This window comes from Homo sapiens, chromosome 6 (genome assembly GCF_000001405.40).
Source record: "Homo sapiens chromosome 6, GRCh38.p14 Primary Assembly".
Classification (NCBI taxonomy): Eukaryota; Metazoa; Chordata; class Mammalia; order Primates; family Hominidae; genus Homo; species Homo sapiens.
The window spans coordinates 158,873,691-158,889,795 of record NC_000006.12 but is presented as its reverse complement, the minus strand read 5'-3'; the positions used below and the strand labels follow the sequence as shown (position 1 = coordinate 158,889,795).

The window sequence follows — 16,105 nt, the reverse complement described above, 5'->3', positions numbered from 1 at the left end:
AGAACAGAAAATCAGCAAAGATACAGAACTAAAAATATCATAACCAATTAATCTGATTGATATTTGTAGAATATTTCACCTAATACATGCTTCCTAAATTTGGTATTTACCAAAAGAGACCATAGCCACCATGCCCAGCTAATTTTTGTATTTTAAGTAGAGATGGAATTTCACCATGTTGGCCAGGATGGTCTCGATCTTCTGACCTTGTGATCCACTCGCCTTGGCCTCCCAAAGTGCTAGGATTACAGTTTTGAGTCACCGCGCCCGGCCAATTTTTTTTTTTTTTTTTCTTTTTTGAGACGGAGTTTCACTCTGTCACCCAGTCTGGTGTGCAGTGGCACGATCTCAGCTCACTACAACCTCCGCCTCCCAGGTTCAAGCAATTCTCCTGCCTCAGCCTCCTGACTGGCTGGGACTACAGGTGCGTGCCACTACACCCAGCTATTTTTTGCATTTTTAGTAGAGACAGGGTTTTGCCACGTTGACCAGGCTGGTCTCGAACTCCAGACCTCAGGTGATCTGACCGCCTCAGCCTCCCAAACTGCTGGGATTATAGGCATGAGCCACTGCACCCACCTGTCAGGCCTCTGAGCCCAAGCTAAGCCATCATATCCCCTGCCACCTGCACGTATACATCCAGATGGCCTGAAGCAACTGAAGATCCACAAAAGAGGTGAAAATAGCCTTAACTGATGACATTCCAAAATTGTGATTTGTTTCTGCCCCACCCTAACTGATCAATGTACTTTGTAATCTCCCCCACCCTTAAGAAGGTTCTTTATAATCTCCCCGACCCTTAAGAAGGTTCTTTGTAATTCTCCCCACCCTTGAGAATGTTCTTTGTGAGATCCACCCCCTGCCCACAAAACATTGCTCCTAACTCCACCGCCCATCCCAAAACCTCTAAGAACCAATGATAATCCCACCGCCCTTTGCAGACTCTCTTTTCAGACTCAGCCCGCCTGCACCCAGGTGAAATAAACAGCCTTGTTGCTCACACAAAGCCTGTTTGGTGGTCTCTTCACACGAATGCGTGAGACATTTGGTGCCAAAGACCTGGGTCAGAGGGACTCCTTCAGGAGACCAGTCCCTTGTCCTCACCTTCACTCCGTGAAGAGATCCACCTATGACCTCAGGTCCTCAGACCAACCAGCCCAAGGAACATCTCACCAATTTCAAATTGGGTAAGCGGTCTTTTCACTCTCTTCTCCAGCCTCTCTCACTACGCTTCAATCCCCCTGTCCTTCCAATTCCAGTTCTTTTTCTCCTCTAGTAGAGACAAAGGAGACACATTTTATCGGTGGACCGAAAACTCTGGTGCCAGTCACGGACTTGGGAAGACAGCCTTCCCTTGGTGTTTAATCATTGTGGGGACGCCTGCCTGATTATTCACCCACATTCCACTGGTGTCTGATCACTGCAGGGATGCCTGCCTTGGTCATTCACCCACATTCCCTTGGTGGCAAGTCAACTGAAGGGATGCCTGCTTTGGCTGCTCACCCACATTGCAGCCCAGGGCTGCTCCCCACCCCGCTTCTCCGTGTCTCTACCCTTCCCACCCTTCTCTCTCTTTTTTTTTTTTTTTTGAGACGCAGTCTCACTCTGTGGCCCAGGCTGGAGTGCAGTGGCTCCATCTCAGCTCACTGCAAGCTCCGCCTCCCGGGTTCACGCCATTCTCCTGCCTCAGCCTCCCGAGTAGCTGGGACTACAGGCACCCACCACCATGCCTGACTAATTTTTATTTTGTATTTTTAGTAGAGATGGGGTTTCACTGTGTTAGCCAGGATGGTCTCAATCTCCTGACCTCAGGATCCGCCTGCCTCAGCCTCCCAAAGTGCTGGGACTACAGGTGTGAGCCACCGCGCCCGGCCTCTACACTTCTCTTTAAACTTGCCTCCTTCACTATGGGCAACCTTCCACCCTCCATTCCTCCTTCTTCTCCCTTAGCCTGTGTTTTCAAGAACTTAAAACCTCTTCAACTCTCACCTGACCTAAAATCTAAGCGTCCTATTTTCTTCTGCAATACCGCTTGGCCCCAATACAAACTCGATAATGGTTCTAAATGGCCAGAAAATGGCACTTTTGATTTCTCCATCCGAGACCTAATTTTTGTCGAAAAATGGGCAAATGATCTGAGGTGCCTTACATCCAGGCATTTCTCACGCTTCGTTCCCTCTCTAGTGTCTGTTTCCAGTGCGACTAGTCCCAAATCCTCCTTCTTTCCCTCCCGCCTATCCCTTAAGTCTCAACCCCAAGCATCACTGAGTCTTGTGAATCTTTCTTTTCTACTGAGCCATCTGACCCCTCACCTCCTCCCCAGACTGCTCCTCCTCAGCTCGCTCCCCGCCAGGCTAATCAGCCTCCAACTCTTCTTCAGCCTCTGCTCCCCCACCCTATAACCCTTCTATTACCTCCCTCCCCACACCCGGTCTAGTTTACGGTTTCGTTCTGTGACCAGCTCTCCCCCACCTGCCCAACAATTTCCTCTTAGAGACGTGGCTGGAGCTGAAGGCATAGTCAGGGTACATATGCCTTTTTCTCTATCGGACCTTTCCCAAATCAGCCAGCGTTTAGGCTCTTTCTCATCAGACCCCACTAAATGTGCACAGGAATTCCGATATCTAACTCTGTCCTACAAGTTAACCTGGAGTGACTGAAGTGTCATCCTAATTTCTACCCCTCCCCAGATGAACGGGAAAGTTTTTCTCTAGCCCAGTCTCGTGCTGATAACCGCCGGCTTCATGAGCCAGACCTCCTGGAAGGCATTAGAGCAGTTCCCCGAGAGGATCCCCAGTGGAACTATCAGGCAGATTCCCCAGGTACAGCTGGGCAAGATTACATGGTTTCCTGCCTAGTTGAAGGGCTTAAAAAGGCAGCTTACAAAGCTGGTAATTATGACGAACTTAAGGAAACTACCCGAGGTAAAGACGAAAACCCAGCCCAGGTCATGGCCCGCTTGGCAGCTACCCTTAGACGCTTTACCGCCCTAGACCCACAGGGGCCAGAAGGCCGCCTTATTCTCAATATACGTTTTATCACCCAGTCAGCTCCTGACATGAGAAAAAAGCTTCAAAAATTGGAACCCGGCCCTCAAATCCCACAACAGGAATTAATCAACCTCGCCTTCAAGGTGCACAATAATAGAGAGGAGGTAGCCAGACAGCAACACATTTCTGAGTTACAGCTACTTGACTCCTCTGGAAGACAACCCACAACCACGTCTCCAGCATACAAGAACTTCAGGACATCCAAGCCACAGCTCCCAGGGGTTCTTCAAAACATCCTCGTGGACCTTGCTTCAAATGCCAAAAGCCTGGCCACTGGGCCTCAGAATGCCCACAGCCTGGGATTCCTCCTAAGCCATGCCCTGTCTGTGCGGGCCCCCACTGGAGGTCGGACTGTCCGACTCACATCACTGCCACTCCTAAAGCCCCTGGAGCCCAAACCCAATGTTCCTTGGCCGACTCCTTCCCAGATCTCCTCGGCTTAGCAGCTGAAGACTGACGCTGCCCAATCGCCTCAGAAGCCCCCTGGACCATCCCAGACGCCAAGCCTCGGTAACACTTACAGAAGAGAGTACGTCCGTCCCCTGTTTAATCAATATGGGGGCTACCCACTCCACATTATCTTCTTTTCAAGGGCCTGTTTCCCTTGCCCCCATAACTGTTGTGGGTATTGCCGGCGAAGCTTCAAAACCTCTTAAAATTCCCCCACTCTGGTGCCAACTTGGACAACATTCTTTTATGCACTCTTTTTTCAGTTATCCCCACCTGCCCAGTTCCCTTATTAGGCCAAGACATTTTAACCAAATTATCTGCTTCCCTGATTATTCCTGGACTACAGCCACATCTCATTGCCACCCTTCTTCCCAACCCAAAGCCTCCTTCATGTCTTCCTCTCGTATCCCCCAACCTTAACCCACAAGTATGGGATACCTCCACTCCCTCCCTGGCAACTGATCACACGCCCATTACTATCCCATTAAAACCTAATCACCCTTACCCCACTCAATGCCAGTATCCCATCCCACAGCAGGCTTTAAGGGGATTAAACCTGTTATCACTCGCCTGCTACAGCATGGGCTTCTACAACCTATAAGCTCTCTTTACAATTCTCCCATTTTACCTGTTCAAAAACCAGACAAGTCTTACAGGTTAGTTCAGGATCTGCGCCTTATCAATGAAATTGCCTTGCCTATCCACCCCATGGTGCCAAACCCATATACTCTCCTATCCTCAGTACCTCCCTCCACAACACCTTCTGTTCTAGATAAACCTGGCTGACCCCATAAATCCTAAATCCTTTCCCCACTCCCCTTTCCATTCCTTAAAAAACAGCCCTAAAAGCTGCTCCCGCACTAGCTCTCCCTAACTCATCCCAACCCTTTCATTACACACAGCCAAAGTACAGGGCTGTGTGGCCAGAATTCTTACACAAGAGCCGGGACCCGCCCTGTAGCCTTTTTGCCCAAACAACTTGATCTTATTGTTTTAGGCTGGCCATCATGTCTCCGTGCAGCGGCCGCCGCCACCCTAATACTTTTAGAGGCCCTCAAAATCACAAACTATGCTCAACTCACTCTCTACAGTTCTCATAACTTCCAAAATCTATTTTCTTCCTCACACCTGACACGTATACTTTCTGCTCCCCGGCTCCTTCAGCTGTACTCACTCTTTGTCGAGTCTCCCACAGTTACCATTGTTCCTAGCCCAGACTTCAATCCGGCCTCCCATGTTATTCCTGATACCACACCTGACCCCCATGACTATATCTCTCTGATCCACCTGACATTCACCCCATTTCCCCATATTTCCTTCTTTCCTGTTCCTCACCCTGATCACATTTGGTTTATTAATGGCAGTTCCACCAGGCCTAATTGCCACTCACCAGCAAAGGCAGGCTATGCTATAGTATCTTCCACATCTATCGTTGAGGCTACCGCTCTGCCCCTCCACTATCTCTCAGCAAGCCGAACTCATTGCCTTAACTTGAGCCCTCACTCTTGCAAAGGAATTACGTGACAATATTTATACTGACTCTAAATATGCCTTCCAGATCCTGCACCACCATGCTGTTATACAGGCTGAAAGAGGTTTCTTTACTACGCAAGGGTCTTCCATCATTAATGCCTCTTTAATAAAAACTCTTCTCAAGGCCACTTTACTTCCAAAGGAAACTGGAGTCATACACTGCAAGGGCCATCAAAAGGCATCAGATCCCATTGCTCAGGGCAATGCTTATGCTGATAAGGCAGCTAAAGAAGCAGCTAGCATTCCAATTTCTGTCCCTCATGGCCAGTTTTTCTCCTTCTCATTGGTCACTCCTATTTACTCTCCTACTGAAGTTTCCACCTATCAATCTCTTCCCACACAAGGCGAATGGTTCTTCGACCAAGAAAAATATCTCCTTCCAGCCTCACAGGCCCATTCTATTCTGTCGTCATTTCATAACCTCTTCCATGTAGGTTACAAGCCACTAGCCTGCCTCTTAGAACCTCTCATTTCCTTTCCATCGTGGAAATCTATCCTCAAGGAAATCACTTCTCAGTGTTCCATCTGCTACTCAACTACCCCTCAGGGGTTGTTCAGACCCCTCCCTTCCCTACACATCAAGCTCGAGGATTTGCCCTGCCCAGGACTGGCAAATTGACTTTACTCACATGCCCCAAGTCAGGAAACTAAAATACCTCTTGGTCTGGGTAGACACTTTCACTGGATGGGTAGAGGCCTTTCCCACAGGATCTGAGAGGCCACCGCGGTCATTTCTTCCCTTTTGTCAGACATAATTCCTCGGTTTGGCCTTCCCACCTCTATACAGTTCGATAACGGACCGGCCTTTATTAGTCAAATCACCCAAGCAGTTTCTCAGGCTCTTGGTATTCAGTGGAACCTTCATACCCCTTACCATCCCCAATCTTCAGGAAAGGTAGAACAGACTAATGGTCTTTTAAAGACATGCCTCACTAAGCTTAGCCTCCAACTTAAAAAGGACTGTACAGTACTTTTATCTCTTGCCCTTCTCAGAATTAGAGCCTGTCCTCAAGATGCTACAGGGTACAGTCCATTTGAACTTTTATATGGACGCACTTTCTTACTCGGCCCCAACCTCGTCCCAGACACCAGCCCTCTAGGTGACTATCTTCCAGTCCTCCAACAGGCTAGACAGGAAATTCACCAGGCTGCTAATCTTCTCTTGCCTACTCCAGATTCCCAGCCATATGAAGACACCCTAGCTGGATGATCAGTTCTTGTTAAGAATCTGACCCCTCAAACTCTACAACCTCGATGGACTGGACCCTACTTAGTCATCTATAGTACCCCAACCACGATCCGCCTGCAGGACCCTCCCCATTGGGTTCACCATTCCAGAATAAAGCTGTGTCCGTCAGCCAGACAGCCTGATATATCCTCTTCCTCCTGGAAGTCGCAAGTACTCTCCCCTACTTCCCTTAAACTCACTCACATTTCTGAAGAACAATAATAACCCTTATGAGCCTAATACATCCCTTCATTCTATTAGGCCTATCCATCCTTACCCTACCCTTTGCAACAGAGCTTTGTGCAGTCACCCCCACTATTTGGACTGTGCCCCAAAAACTTGTCATCCCTACTGTATTCTCAACTACTCATAAATGACCTGCTCTTGTTTACACTGCCGGTTTACACTGTTTCTCCAAGCCATCACAGCTGTTATCTCCTGGTGCTATCCCCAAACCACCACTCTTGACTCCCTCTTGGAGCAGGTAGATGATCTTTGGTGGCAGGGCACACTCCAATACTTCCACCCTGATGAAGTTCTATTCTTTGCTTTTATACTCCCTCTTATTCTCATTCCCATTCTTATGCCACTCTCTACCCCTCCCTAGTTACCTCCAGCATCTCCAGCACACTATCAATCTCACCCACTCTCTTCTCACTGCCTTCAATCCTCCAATCCTCCTCTAGCAAAGAATTGTTGGCTATGCATTTCCCTTTCTTCCTGCTTTTTTTTTTTTTTTTTTGAAGCGGAGTCTCGCTCTGTCGCCCAGGCTGGAGTGCAGTGGCAGCAATCTTGGCTCACTGCAAGCTCCGCCTCCCAGGTTCATGCCATTCTCCTGCCTCAGCCTCCCAAGTAGCTGGGACTGCAGGTGCCTGCTACCACGCCCGGCCAATTTTTTGTATTTTTAGTAGAGATGGGGTTTCACCGTGTTAGCCAGGATGGTCTCGATCTCCTGACCTCATGATCCACCCGCCTCAGCCTCCCAAAGTGCTGGGATTCCAGGCGTGAGCTACCGCGCCCGGCCTCTTCCTGCTTTTACACAGCCATCCCCGCTCTACAGGCCAACTTGGCTACCTGTTCCATCTCCCTGCACCTCAGAACCTCCTTTAATAGCCCTCATCTATACCTGCCTGAGGAAATTCTTTACTTTCTAGACAGATTTGGTGAGAACTCCCCAGACATTTCACACCAACAAGCTGCCACACTTCTCCGCATCTACTTACGGCACCTTTCTCCTTATGTCAATTCCACCCCCACCCCATATTTGGACCCCTGACCACACAAACAACCATCCCTGTTGCCACTCCTTTATGCTTCTCCCGACAACAGCCTGCTGGAATCCCTTTAGGCAACCTTCTTCTGTCCAAATGTTCCTTTACTCTTTATCTCCAGAACCCAGCCACACACATAACCAAACAGATGGGAGCATTCCAACTTCACATTACTGATAAGCCCATTACTGACAAACTAAAACACATTGGCAGTCACTATTGTTTAGGAAGACACATACCCTGCATCTCACTCCATCCTGGGCTACCCTCCCCCTGCTCGTCTGAATCTCCTCCTAGCCCCTCCTCTTGCTTGCTTATACCCAGCCCCATGAATAGCAGTGAAAGGTTACTTGTAGACACTATGCGCTTTCTCATACACCATGAGAACCGAACCCCTCCCTTTACGCAGTCGCACCATCAACCCCCATTACAACCTCTAACGGCTGCTGCCCTTGCTGGATCTCTAGGATTTGGGGTGCAGGATTCCTCTTTCAGTACACCCTCTCACCTTTTCACTTTACATTTCCAGTTCTGCCTGACACAAGGTCTCTTCTTTTTATGTGGCTCTTCCACCTACATGTGCCTACCTCCCAACTGGACAGGCACATGCACTCTAGTCTTCCTTACCCCCAAAATCCAGTTTGCAGATGGGAACAAACTACTGCCTGTCCCCCTCATGACATCAACACGACAAGAAAGAGTCATCCCACTAATCCCTTTGCTTGTGGGTCTAGGACTTTCTGCCTCCACTATTGCACTTGGAACTGGAATAGCAGGCATCTCAACCACTGCCACAACATTCCACAGCCTCTCTAATGACTTCTCTGCTAGCATTACAGATATATCACAAACTTCATCTGTTCTCCAAGCACAGATTGACTCTTTTAGCTGTAGTTGTCCTCAGAACCTCCAAGGCCTCTATTTACTCACTGCTGAAAAAGGAGGACTCTGTATATTTTTAAATGAAGAGTGTTGTTTTTACCTAAATCAGTCTGGCCTGGTATATGACAACATAAAAAAAAACTCAAGGATACAGCCCAAAAACTCGCCAACCAAGCAAATAATTACACTGAACCCTCTTGGACACTCTGTAATTGGATGTCCTGGGTACTCCCAATTCTTAGTCCTTTAATACCTGTTTTTCACCTTCTTTTATTTGGACCTTGTGTCTTTCGTTTAGCTTCTCATTTCATACAAAACCACATCCAGGCCATCACCAATAATTCTATACGACAAATGCTCCTTTTAACAACCCCACAATATCACCCCTTACCCCAAAATCTTTCTTCAGTTGAATCTCTCCCATAGTAGGTTCCCACGCCACCCCTAATCCCACTCGAAGCAGCCCTGAGAAACATCGCCCATTATCTCTCCATACCACCCCCAAAAATTTTCACCGCCTCAACACTTCACTATTTTGTTTTGCTTTTCTTATTAATAAAAGAAGACAGGAATGTCAGGCCCCTGAGCCCAAGCTAAGCCATCATATCCCTTGTGACCTGCATATGTACATCCAGATGGCCTGAAGCAACTGAAGATCCACAAAAGAGGTGAAAATAGCCTTAACTGATGACATTCCACCATTGTGATTTGTTTCTGCCCCACCCTAACTGATCAATGTACTTTGTAATCTCCCCCACCCTTAAGAAGGTTCTTTGTAATTCTCCCCACCCTTGAGAATGTACTTTGTGAAATCCACCCCTGCCCGCAAAACATTGCTCCTAACTCCACCACCTATCCCAAAACCTATAAGAACCAATGATAATCCCACCACCCTTTGCTAACTCTCTTTTCGGACTCAGCCCACCTGCACCCAGGTGAAATAAACAGCCTTGTTGCTTACACAAAGCCTGTTTGGTGGTCTCTTCACACGCACACAGACGTGTGAGACGCGATCCTCCCTTGATACATTGAAAAGATGCATTGAAATTAAACAAAATATGATTTTGTATTTTGAAAATACAAACTGAAATCATACAAAATATGTTTGTATGACTGAACTGAAATCACACAAATACTGAATTGAAGTCATAGAGAATATGAACTGAAATCATACAAAATATGTTCTGGCTGGGCGCGGTGGCTCACGCCTGTAATCCCAGCACTTTGGGAGGCTGAGGCGGGCAGATCACAAGGTCAGGAGATCGAGACCATCCTGGCTAACATGGTGAAACCCCGTCTCTACTAAAAATACAAAAAATTAGCCGGGCATGGTGGCAGGCGCCTGTAGTCCCAGCTACTCGGGAGGCTGAGGCAGAAGAATGGCATGAACCTGGGAGGCAGAGCTTGCAGTGAGCCGAGATTGTGCCACTGCACTCCAGGCTGGGTGACAGAGCGAGACTCCGTCTCAAAAAAAAAAAAAAAAAAAAAAGTTCTACAATCACAGTGGAGATTGAAACCACCTTTGCAAAATTATGACCGAGACAGTGAAAGAGATCTAATTTAACCGACTCCATCTTGCTTCTAACCTCCAAGTTGTCCTTGTTCATTCCTGGGCATAGGCCAAACCAACTTTTGGAGAAGTTTAGTTTATAGTTTAAAACAAAGACTATAACAGCCCTTTCCCAAAGCAGACCTCCTTCTTGCCTGGGGACTAGACTGCCTTTGTAGGACTAACATTAGCCACAGGATTAGAAATTATGGTTTAGGAGTCATGTGGCTGGAGGCTACAAGATTCTGACCCTCCCTAAACAGCTCCTAAGATCAGTGCTTGAGATATTTGCAGACCCTGCACTTGATGGATCAGCTGACACCACCCAGATGGATTAACTGGCTCATCTGATCTTGTGGTTCCCACCAAGGAACTGACTCAGAGCAAGAAGACAGCTTTGACTCCCTGTGATTTTACCCCTGACCAATCAGCACCCCCGGCTCACTGGCTTCCCCCATCCACCAAGCTGTCCTTAGAAACTCTGCTCCCAGAATGCTGGGGGAGACTGATTTGAGTAACAATAAAACTCTGGTGTACCGCACAGTCGGCTCTGCATGAATTACTCATTCTCTATTGCAATTCCCCTGTCTTGATCAATCGGCTCTGTCTAGGCAGCAGGCAATGTGAACCCCTTGGGCGGTTACAAAATCAAAATCATAAGAGAAAGATAACTAGCTAATATTTAAACGTAAACAACAGAACTTCTGGTTAAGCTGTCCTGAGGGCCTAGTCTTAGAGGGGCCCCACACTTTCATGGGCTTTATTTCCAGGAGCCTCACCAGGGTTTCAGGCAGGGGAAAAGGAAAAGTAACCATTTAAAAATACATCCAGGGGGAAAGTAAACATTTTGAAAAACACTCAGTTCTCTATAACAAAGGCCTGCCTTCTAAGGGAAACTATTTTACCTGAGTCTTATCTCATTTGGAGGAATGGCAATTAACCAACTCCAGCCCCTCTAGCCTTCCTGTATCAGGTAAAGAAAGAGAAAAAAAAGGCTAAGAACAGCTTCTGAAGGTCACAGTCCACCTTTAGAGGTTTCAGAGCCATTAAAAAGCTGAGATTTAATCAGATGGTTAGAGAGCACCTCCTCTCCCTCAAATTATCACATCAACAGGGTTCCTGCGTAACAACAGGAAACAGGATTGCAACTGAGAGAGGTGTAAAGCACAGACTCCATTGAAGAAGGAGGTTTTAGGGTAACCCAAAGACAAGAAAAAGGAAACTAGGCCTGGCGCGGTGGCTCACGCCTGTAATCCCAGCACTTTGGAAGGCCAAGGCGGGCAGATCATGAGGTCAGGAGTTAGAAACCATCCTGGCTAACATGGTGAAACCCCGTCTCTACTGAAAATACAAAAAATTAGCAGGGCGTGGTGGCGAGCGCCTGTAGTCCCAGCTACTTGGGAGGCTGAGACAGGAGAATGGCGTGAACCCAGGAGGCGGAGCTTGCAGTGAGCCAAGATCGCGCCACTGCACTCTAGCCTGGGTGACAGAGCGAGACTCTGTCTCAAAAAAAAGAAAAAGGAAAGTAGAGGAAGCATCTGGCACTACAGGTACAGCAAACGTTAAACACAGGTCTGCTCCTGGCCAAATTAACGTAAATCCTCACATTGAAAGCCTAATCATCTCAGTTCCTATTGCCTGATACATCATGTCTGACTTTGAACAAAAAATTACAAGGATGCTAACATACAAGAAAAACAGTCTGAAGAACAAACTATGCATTAGACTCTGACTTAGATGTGGCACAAACTTTGGAATTATCAGGTAGGGAATTTAAAATAATGAGGATATAAGGGAAAAGGCAGATGACATGCAAGAATAGAAGGGAAATAATGAGAAAGATGGAAACTAAAAGAATGAATCAAAAGAAAATCCTAGAAATTAAAAACATTGTGAGAGAAATGAAAAATGCCTTTATGGTATCATCAGTAGGTTATATGTGCCTGAAGAAAGATTCAGTGGGCTGTGAGATACGTCAACAGAAACTTCCCAAACTGAAACATGAGAAAAACAAAAAAGAGAATGAAAGTGTTCAAACAGGGCCAGGGGCCATGGCTCACACCTATAATCCCAGCACTTTGGGAGGCTGAGGCAGGCAGATCAACTGAGTTCAGGAGTTCGAGACCAGTTTGGCCAACATGGTGAAACCCCATGTCTACTAAAGATACAAAAATTAGCCGGGCGTGGTGGCAGGCACCTGTAATCCCAGCTACCCAGGAGGCTGAGGCAGGAGAATCGCTTGAACCTGGCAGGCGGAGGTTGCAGTGAGCCAGTGAGCTGAGATCGCACCACTGCACTCCAGCCTGGGCGACAGAGCGGGAATCTGTCTCAAAAATTAAAAAAAGAAAGAAAGAAAAAGGAAGGAAGGAGGGAGGGAGGGAGGAAGGGAGAGAGGGAGCGAGAGAAGGAAGGAAGGAAGGAAATGCTCAAACAGAGTTATCACTTACTGTGGGACAATTATAAAAGGTCTAATATGCATTTAATGGGAATAGCAGAAGAAGAAAGAGAAATAAGCAAAAGAAATATTCAAAGTAATAATCACTAGGAATTTTCCAAAATTAATGACAGACATCTAAACATGGCTCCAGGAAGATCAGAGAACACCAAGCAGGATAAACACCAAAAAATCTCTAGCTAGGCACATCACATTCAAACTGCAGAAAACCAAAGACTAAGAGGATATCTAGAAAGAAAGCAGAATAAAAATACCTTGTTTGTGCAGAAGAGAGATAAGAATTATATTAGACTTCTCATCAGAAACAATGTAAGCAAGATGACAGTGGAATGAAATATTTTGAAAAGAAAAAAGCAAAAACTCACCAACCTAGAATTCTGTATCCAGTGAAATTATCCTTCAAAAAAAGGGGAAATAAAGACTTTCTCAGATAAACAAAAACTGGGGGAATTTGTTGCCAGGAGACTGCCTTACAAGGTATGCTAAGGTACGTTTTTCGAAAAAAGGGAAACTATATAGGTCAGAAACTCAGATCTACATAAAGAAAGGAAAATTTACATCAAAGGAAGAAAAAAATGGCCAGGCATGGTGGCTCATGCCTGTAGTCCCAGCGCTTTGGGAGGCTGAGGCAGGTGGATCACCTGAGGTCAGGCGTTCGAGACCAGCTTGGCCAGCATAGTGAAATCCCATCTGTACTAAAAATACAAACATTACCCAGGCCTGATGGCGCATGCCTATAGTCCCAGCTACTCAGGAGGCTAAGGCAGCAGAATCGCTTGAGCATGGGAGACGGAGGTTGCAGTGAGCCAAGATCATGCCACTGCACTCCAGCCTGGGTGGCAGAGCAAGACTCTTGTTAAAAAAAAAAAAAAAAAAAAAAAAAAAAGGACCAGGAGCAGTGGCTCATGCCCGTAATCCCAACATTTTGGGAGACCAGGGCAGGAGGATCACTTGAGGTCAGGAGTTCAAGACCAGCCTGGCCAACATGGTGAAACCCCGTCTCTACTAAAAATACAAAAATTAGCAAGGTGTGATGGTGGGTGCCTGTAATCCCAGCTACTTGGGAGGCTGAGGCAGAGGAACTGCTTGAACCTGGGAGGCAGAGGTTGCAGTGAGCCGAGATCACATCATTTGTACTCCAGCCTGGGTGCACAGACAGAGCAAGACTCCATCTTAAAATATACATATAAAAAAAAAGGCCAGGCGTGGTGGCTCACGCCTGTAATCCCAGCACTTTGGGAGGCTGAGGCGGGCGGATCACGAGGTCAAGAGATTGAGACCATTCTGGCCAACATGGTGAAACCCCGTCTCTACTAAAAGTACAAAAATTAGCCAGGTGTGGTAGCCTGTAGTCCCAGCTGCTCAGGAGGCTGAAGCAGGAGAACTGCTTGAACCCGGGAGGTGGAGGTTGCAGTGAGCCAAGATCGTGCCACTGCACTCTACCCTGGAGACAGAGCGAGACTCCATCTCAAAAAAAAAAAAAAAAAATCCAGGGAGAAATAGACAAATCAAATATTATGGTTGGAGACTTCAACACTCCTCTGTCAGTAACTGACAGATTCAGTAGGCAGTCCAGATATAGTTAAACCAAACAGCATCAATCAATCAACTGGATCGAACTGACATCTGTAGACTACTTCATCCATCAACATCAGAATACACACTCTTCCCAAGATCACGTGGAACATTCACCAACCTAGATCATATCCTAGCCAGAAAACATACCTCAACAAATTTAAAAGAACAGAAATAATACAAAGTTGCTGTTAGACAACAGTGGAATTAAAACTAAAAAGTGAAAAATTAAAACTACATAAATAATTTTTGAAAGGTAGTAACAGAGAGCTAAAAATGCTGAAAATATTTAGAGAATAAACAGCGTATTTCTAAATAACACCTGTGTAAAATAAAAAGTCTCAAGAGAAATTTTTAATTGTTTTGAACCAAATAAAAATGAAAATACAACTTACCAAATCTTGTGGGATATAGTAAAAGCAATGCTTCGATGGACATTTTTAGCACTTAATGCATATATTAGAAAAGAAGAGGCCAGGCGCGGTGGCTCATGCCTATAATCCCAGCACTTTGGGAGGCCAAGGCGGGTGGATCATGAGGTCAGGAGTTAGAGACCAGCCTGGCCAACATGGCAAAACCCCGTCTCTACTAAAAATAAAAAATTAGCCAGGAGTGGTGGCAGGCACCTGTAATCCCAGCTGCTTAGGAGGCTGAGGCAGGAGAATCACTTGAACCTGGGAGGTGGAGGTTGCAGTGAGCCAAGATTGTGCCATTGCACTCCAGTCTGAGCGACAAGAGCAAGGCTCTGTCTCAAAAAAAAGAAGAAAGATTTAGTATCAATAATCCAAGCTTCCACCTTAGAAAACTATAAAAAGAAAAGAATATAAGCCTAAAGCAAGCAGAATAAGAGGAAAATAATAATAAAAATTAGAACAGAAATCATTGGAATTGAAAATAGGAAATTAATTTTAAAAAATCAAAACCAATAATTAGGAATGAAGGATAGGCTATCACTGAGCACCCCACAGACTCTAAAAGGGTAATAAATTACACAAACAACTGTGCACACATAAATTTGACAACTTACATAAAGTGGATCAATTCTTTGATGGCCACGAGCTACCAAAACTCATCCAAGAATAAATTAAAAACCTAAATAAATCCTTTATCTATTAAAAAAATTGAATTTCTAGTTGAAAATCTTCCTTAACAGAAATCTGCAGCCCCAAATGGTTTCATCAGCAAATAGTACCAAAGATTTTAGAAAGATATAACATGAGCTCTACATAGTTTCTTCCAGAAAACAGAAGTGGAAGGAATGCTTCCTAACTCATTTTATGAGATGAGCATCATCATGATACTAAAACCAGATAAAGAAAATACAAAAAAAAAAAAAAAGATCCTCATGAATCAATATCCCTCATCAACACAGATGCAAAATACTAACAAATTGAAACAGTAATACATAAAAAAAAATTACACACCATGATCCGGGGTTTATTCCCGAGATGCAATATTTGAAAATCAATGAAAATGTAATCTGCAACAAGACCACATCAACCGACAATATTCAACATCAATTCACGGTACAAGCAGTCGGCAAATGAGGAATCGAACAGAGCTCTCTAAACCGATAAAGCACACCTACAAAAAAGCCTATAACTAAACACACTGTGAAAGACGTAATGCTTCTTTCCCTCTAAGATCAGGAACAAGGCAAGGAACTCCACCTCACCCCTCCTACTCAACATTGCACGGGAAGACCTATCTTGTCAAACAGGGAAATAAAATTTAATGAAAGTCATACAGATTGGAAAGGAGAAAACGCAACTGTCCCTAGTACCTATTCACAAACATGATTGCCTGTGTAAAAAATCTCATGGATTCCATAAAAACCTTCTAAAACCAATGTCAGTTTAGTGAGATTGCAGGATACAAGGTTAACACATGAAAACCAACTATATTTCTTTATAATAGTAATGAATATCCGGAAACCAAATTTTTTAAATCACAGTGGCTTTGAAAAATAGTCTGCATAAATCTAACAAACCACGTAAAGGATCTATATATGAACACCACAAAATGCTGATGAAAGAAATAAAACAATCTAAATAAATGTAAAGACATACTATATTCACAGACTGGAAGACTCAATACAGTTGTCAATTCTCC

General features: G+C 45.5%; 1 long non-coding RNA gene across 7 annotated transcripts in view, besides 1 other annotated feature; it reads right to left on the bottom strand.

Moving 5' to 3' along the window:
- Positions 1 to 16,105, bottom strand: part of LINC02901 (long intergenic non-protein coding RNA 2901) — a 40,540-nt gene that overhangs the window by 20,558 nt on the left and 3,877 nt on the right. The window contains exon 1 of one of the 7 annotated variants that reach the window (NR_160979.1): positions 1,105 to 1,319. The exons of the other annotated variants lie outside the window; for them this stretch is intronic. This is a non-coding gene — a long non-coding RNA (long intergenic non-protein coding RNA 2901). Of the gene's footprint in view, positions 1 to 1,104; positions 1,320 to 16,105 lie in introns of those variants that run through there. 7 annotated transcript variants of the gene reach the window in all.
- Positions 2,793 to 2,993: a silencer, noted in NCBI's record as "peak6275 fragment used in MPRA reporter construct". NCBI's record gives its function as "represses an SCP1 promoter by STARR-seq MPRAs in K562 erythroleukemia cells {active_cell/tissue: K562}" and the evidence as "EXISTENCE:reporter gene assay evidence [ECO:0000049][PMID:32103011]".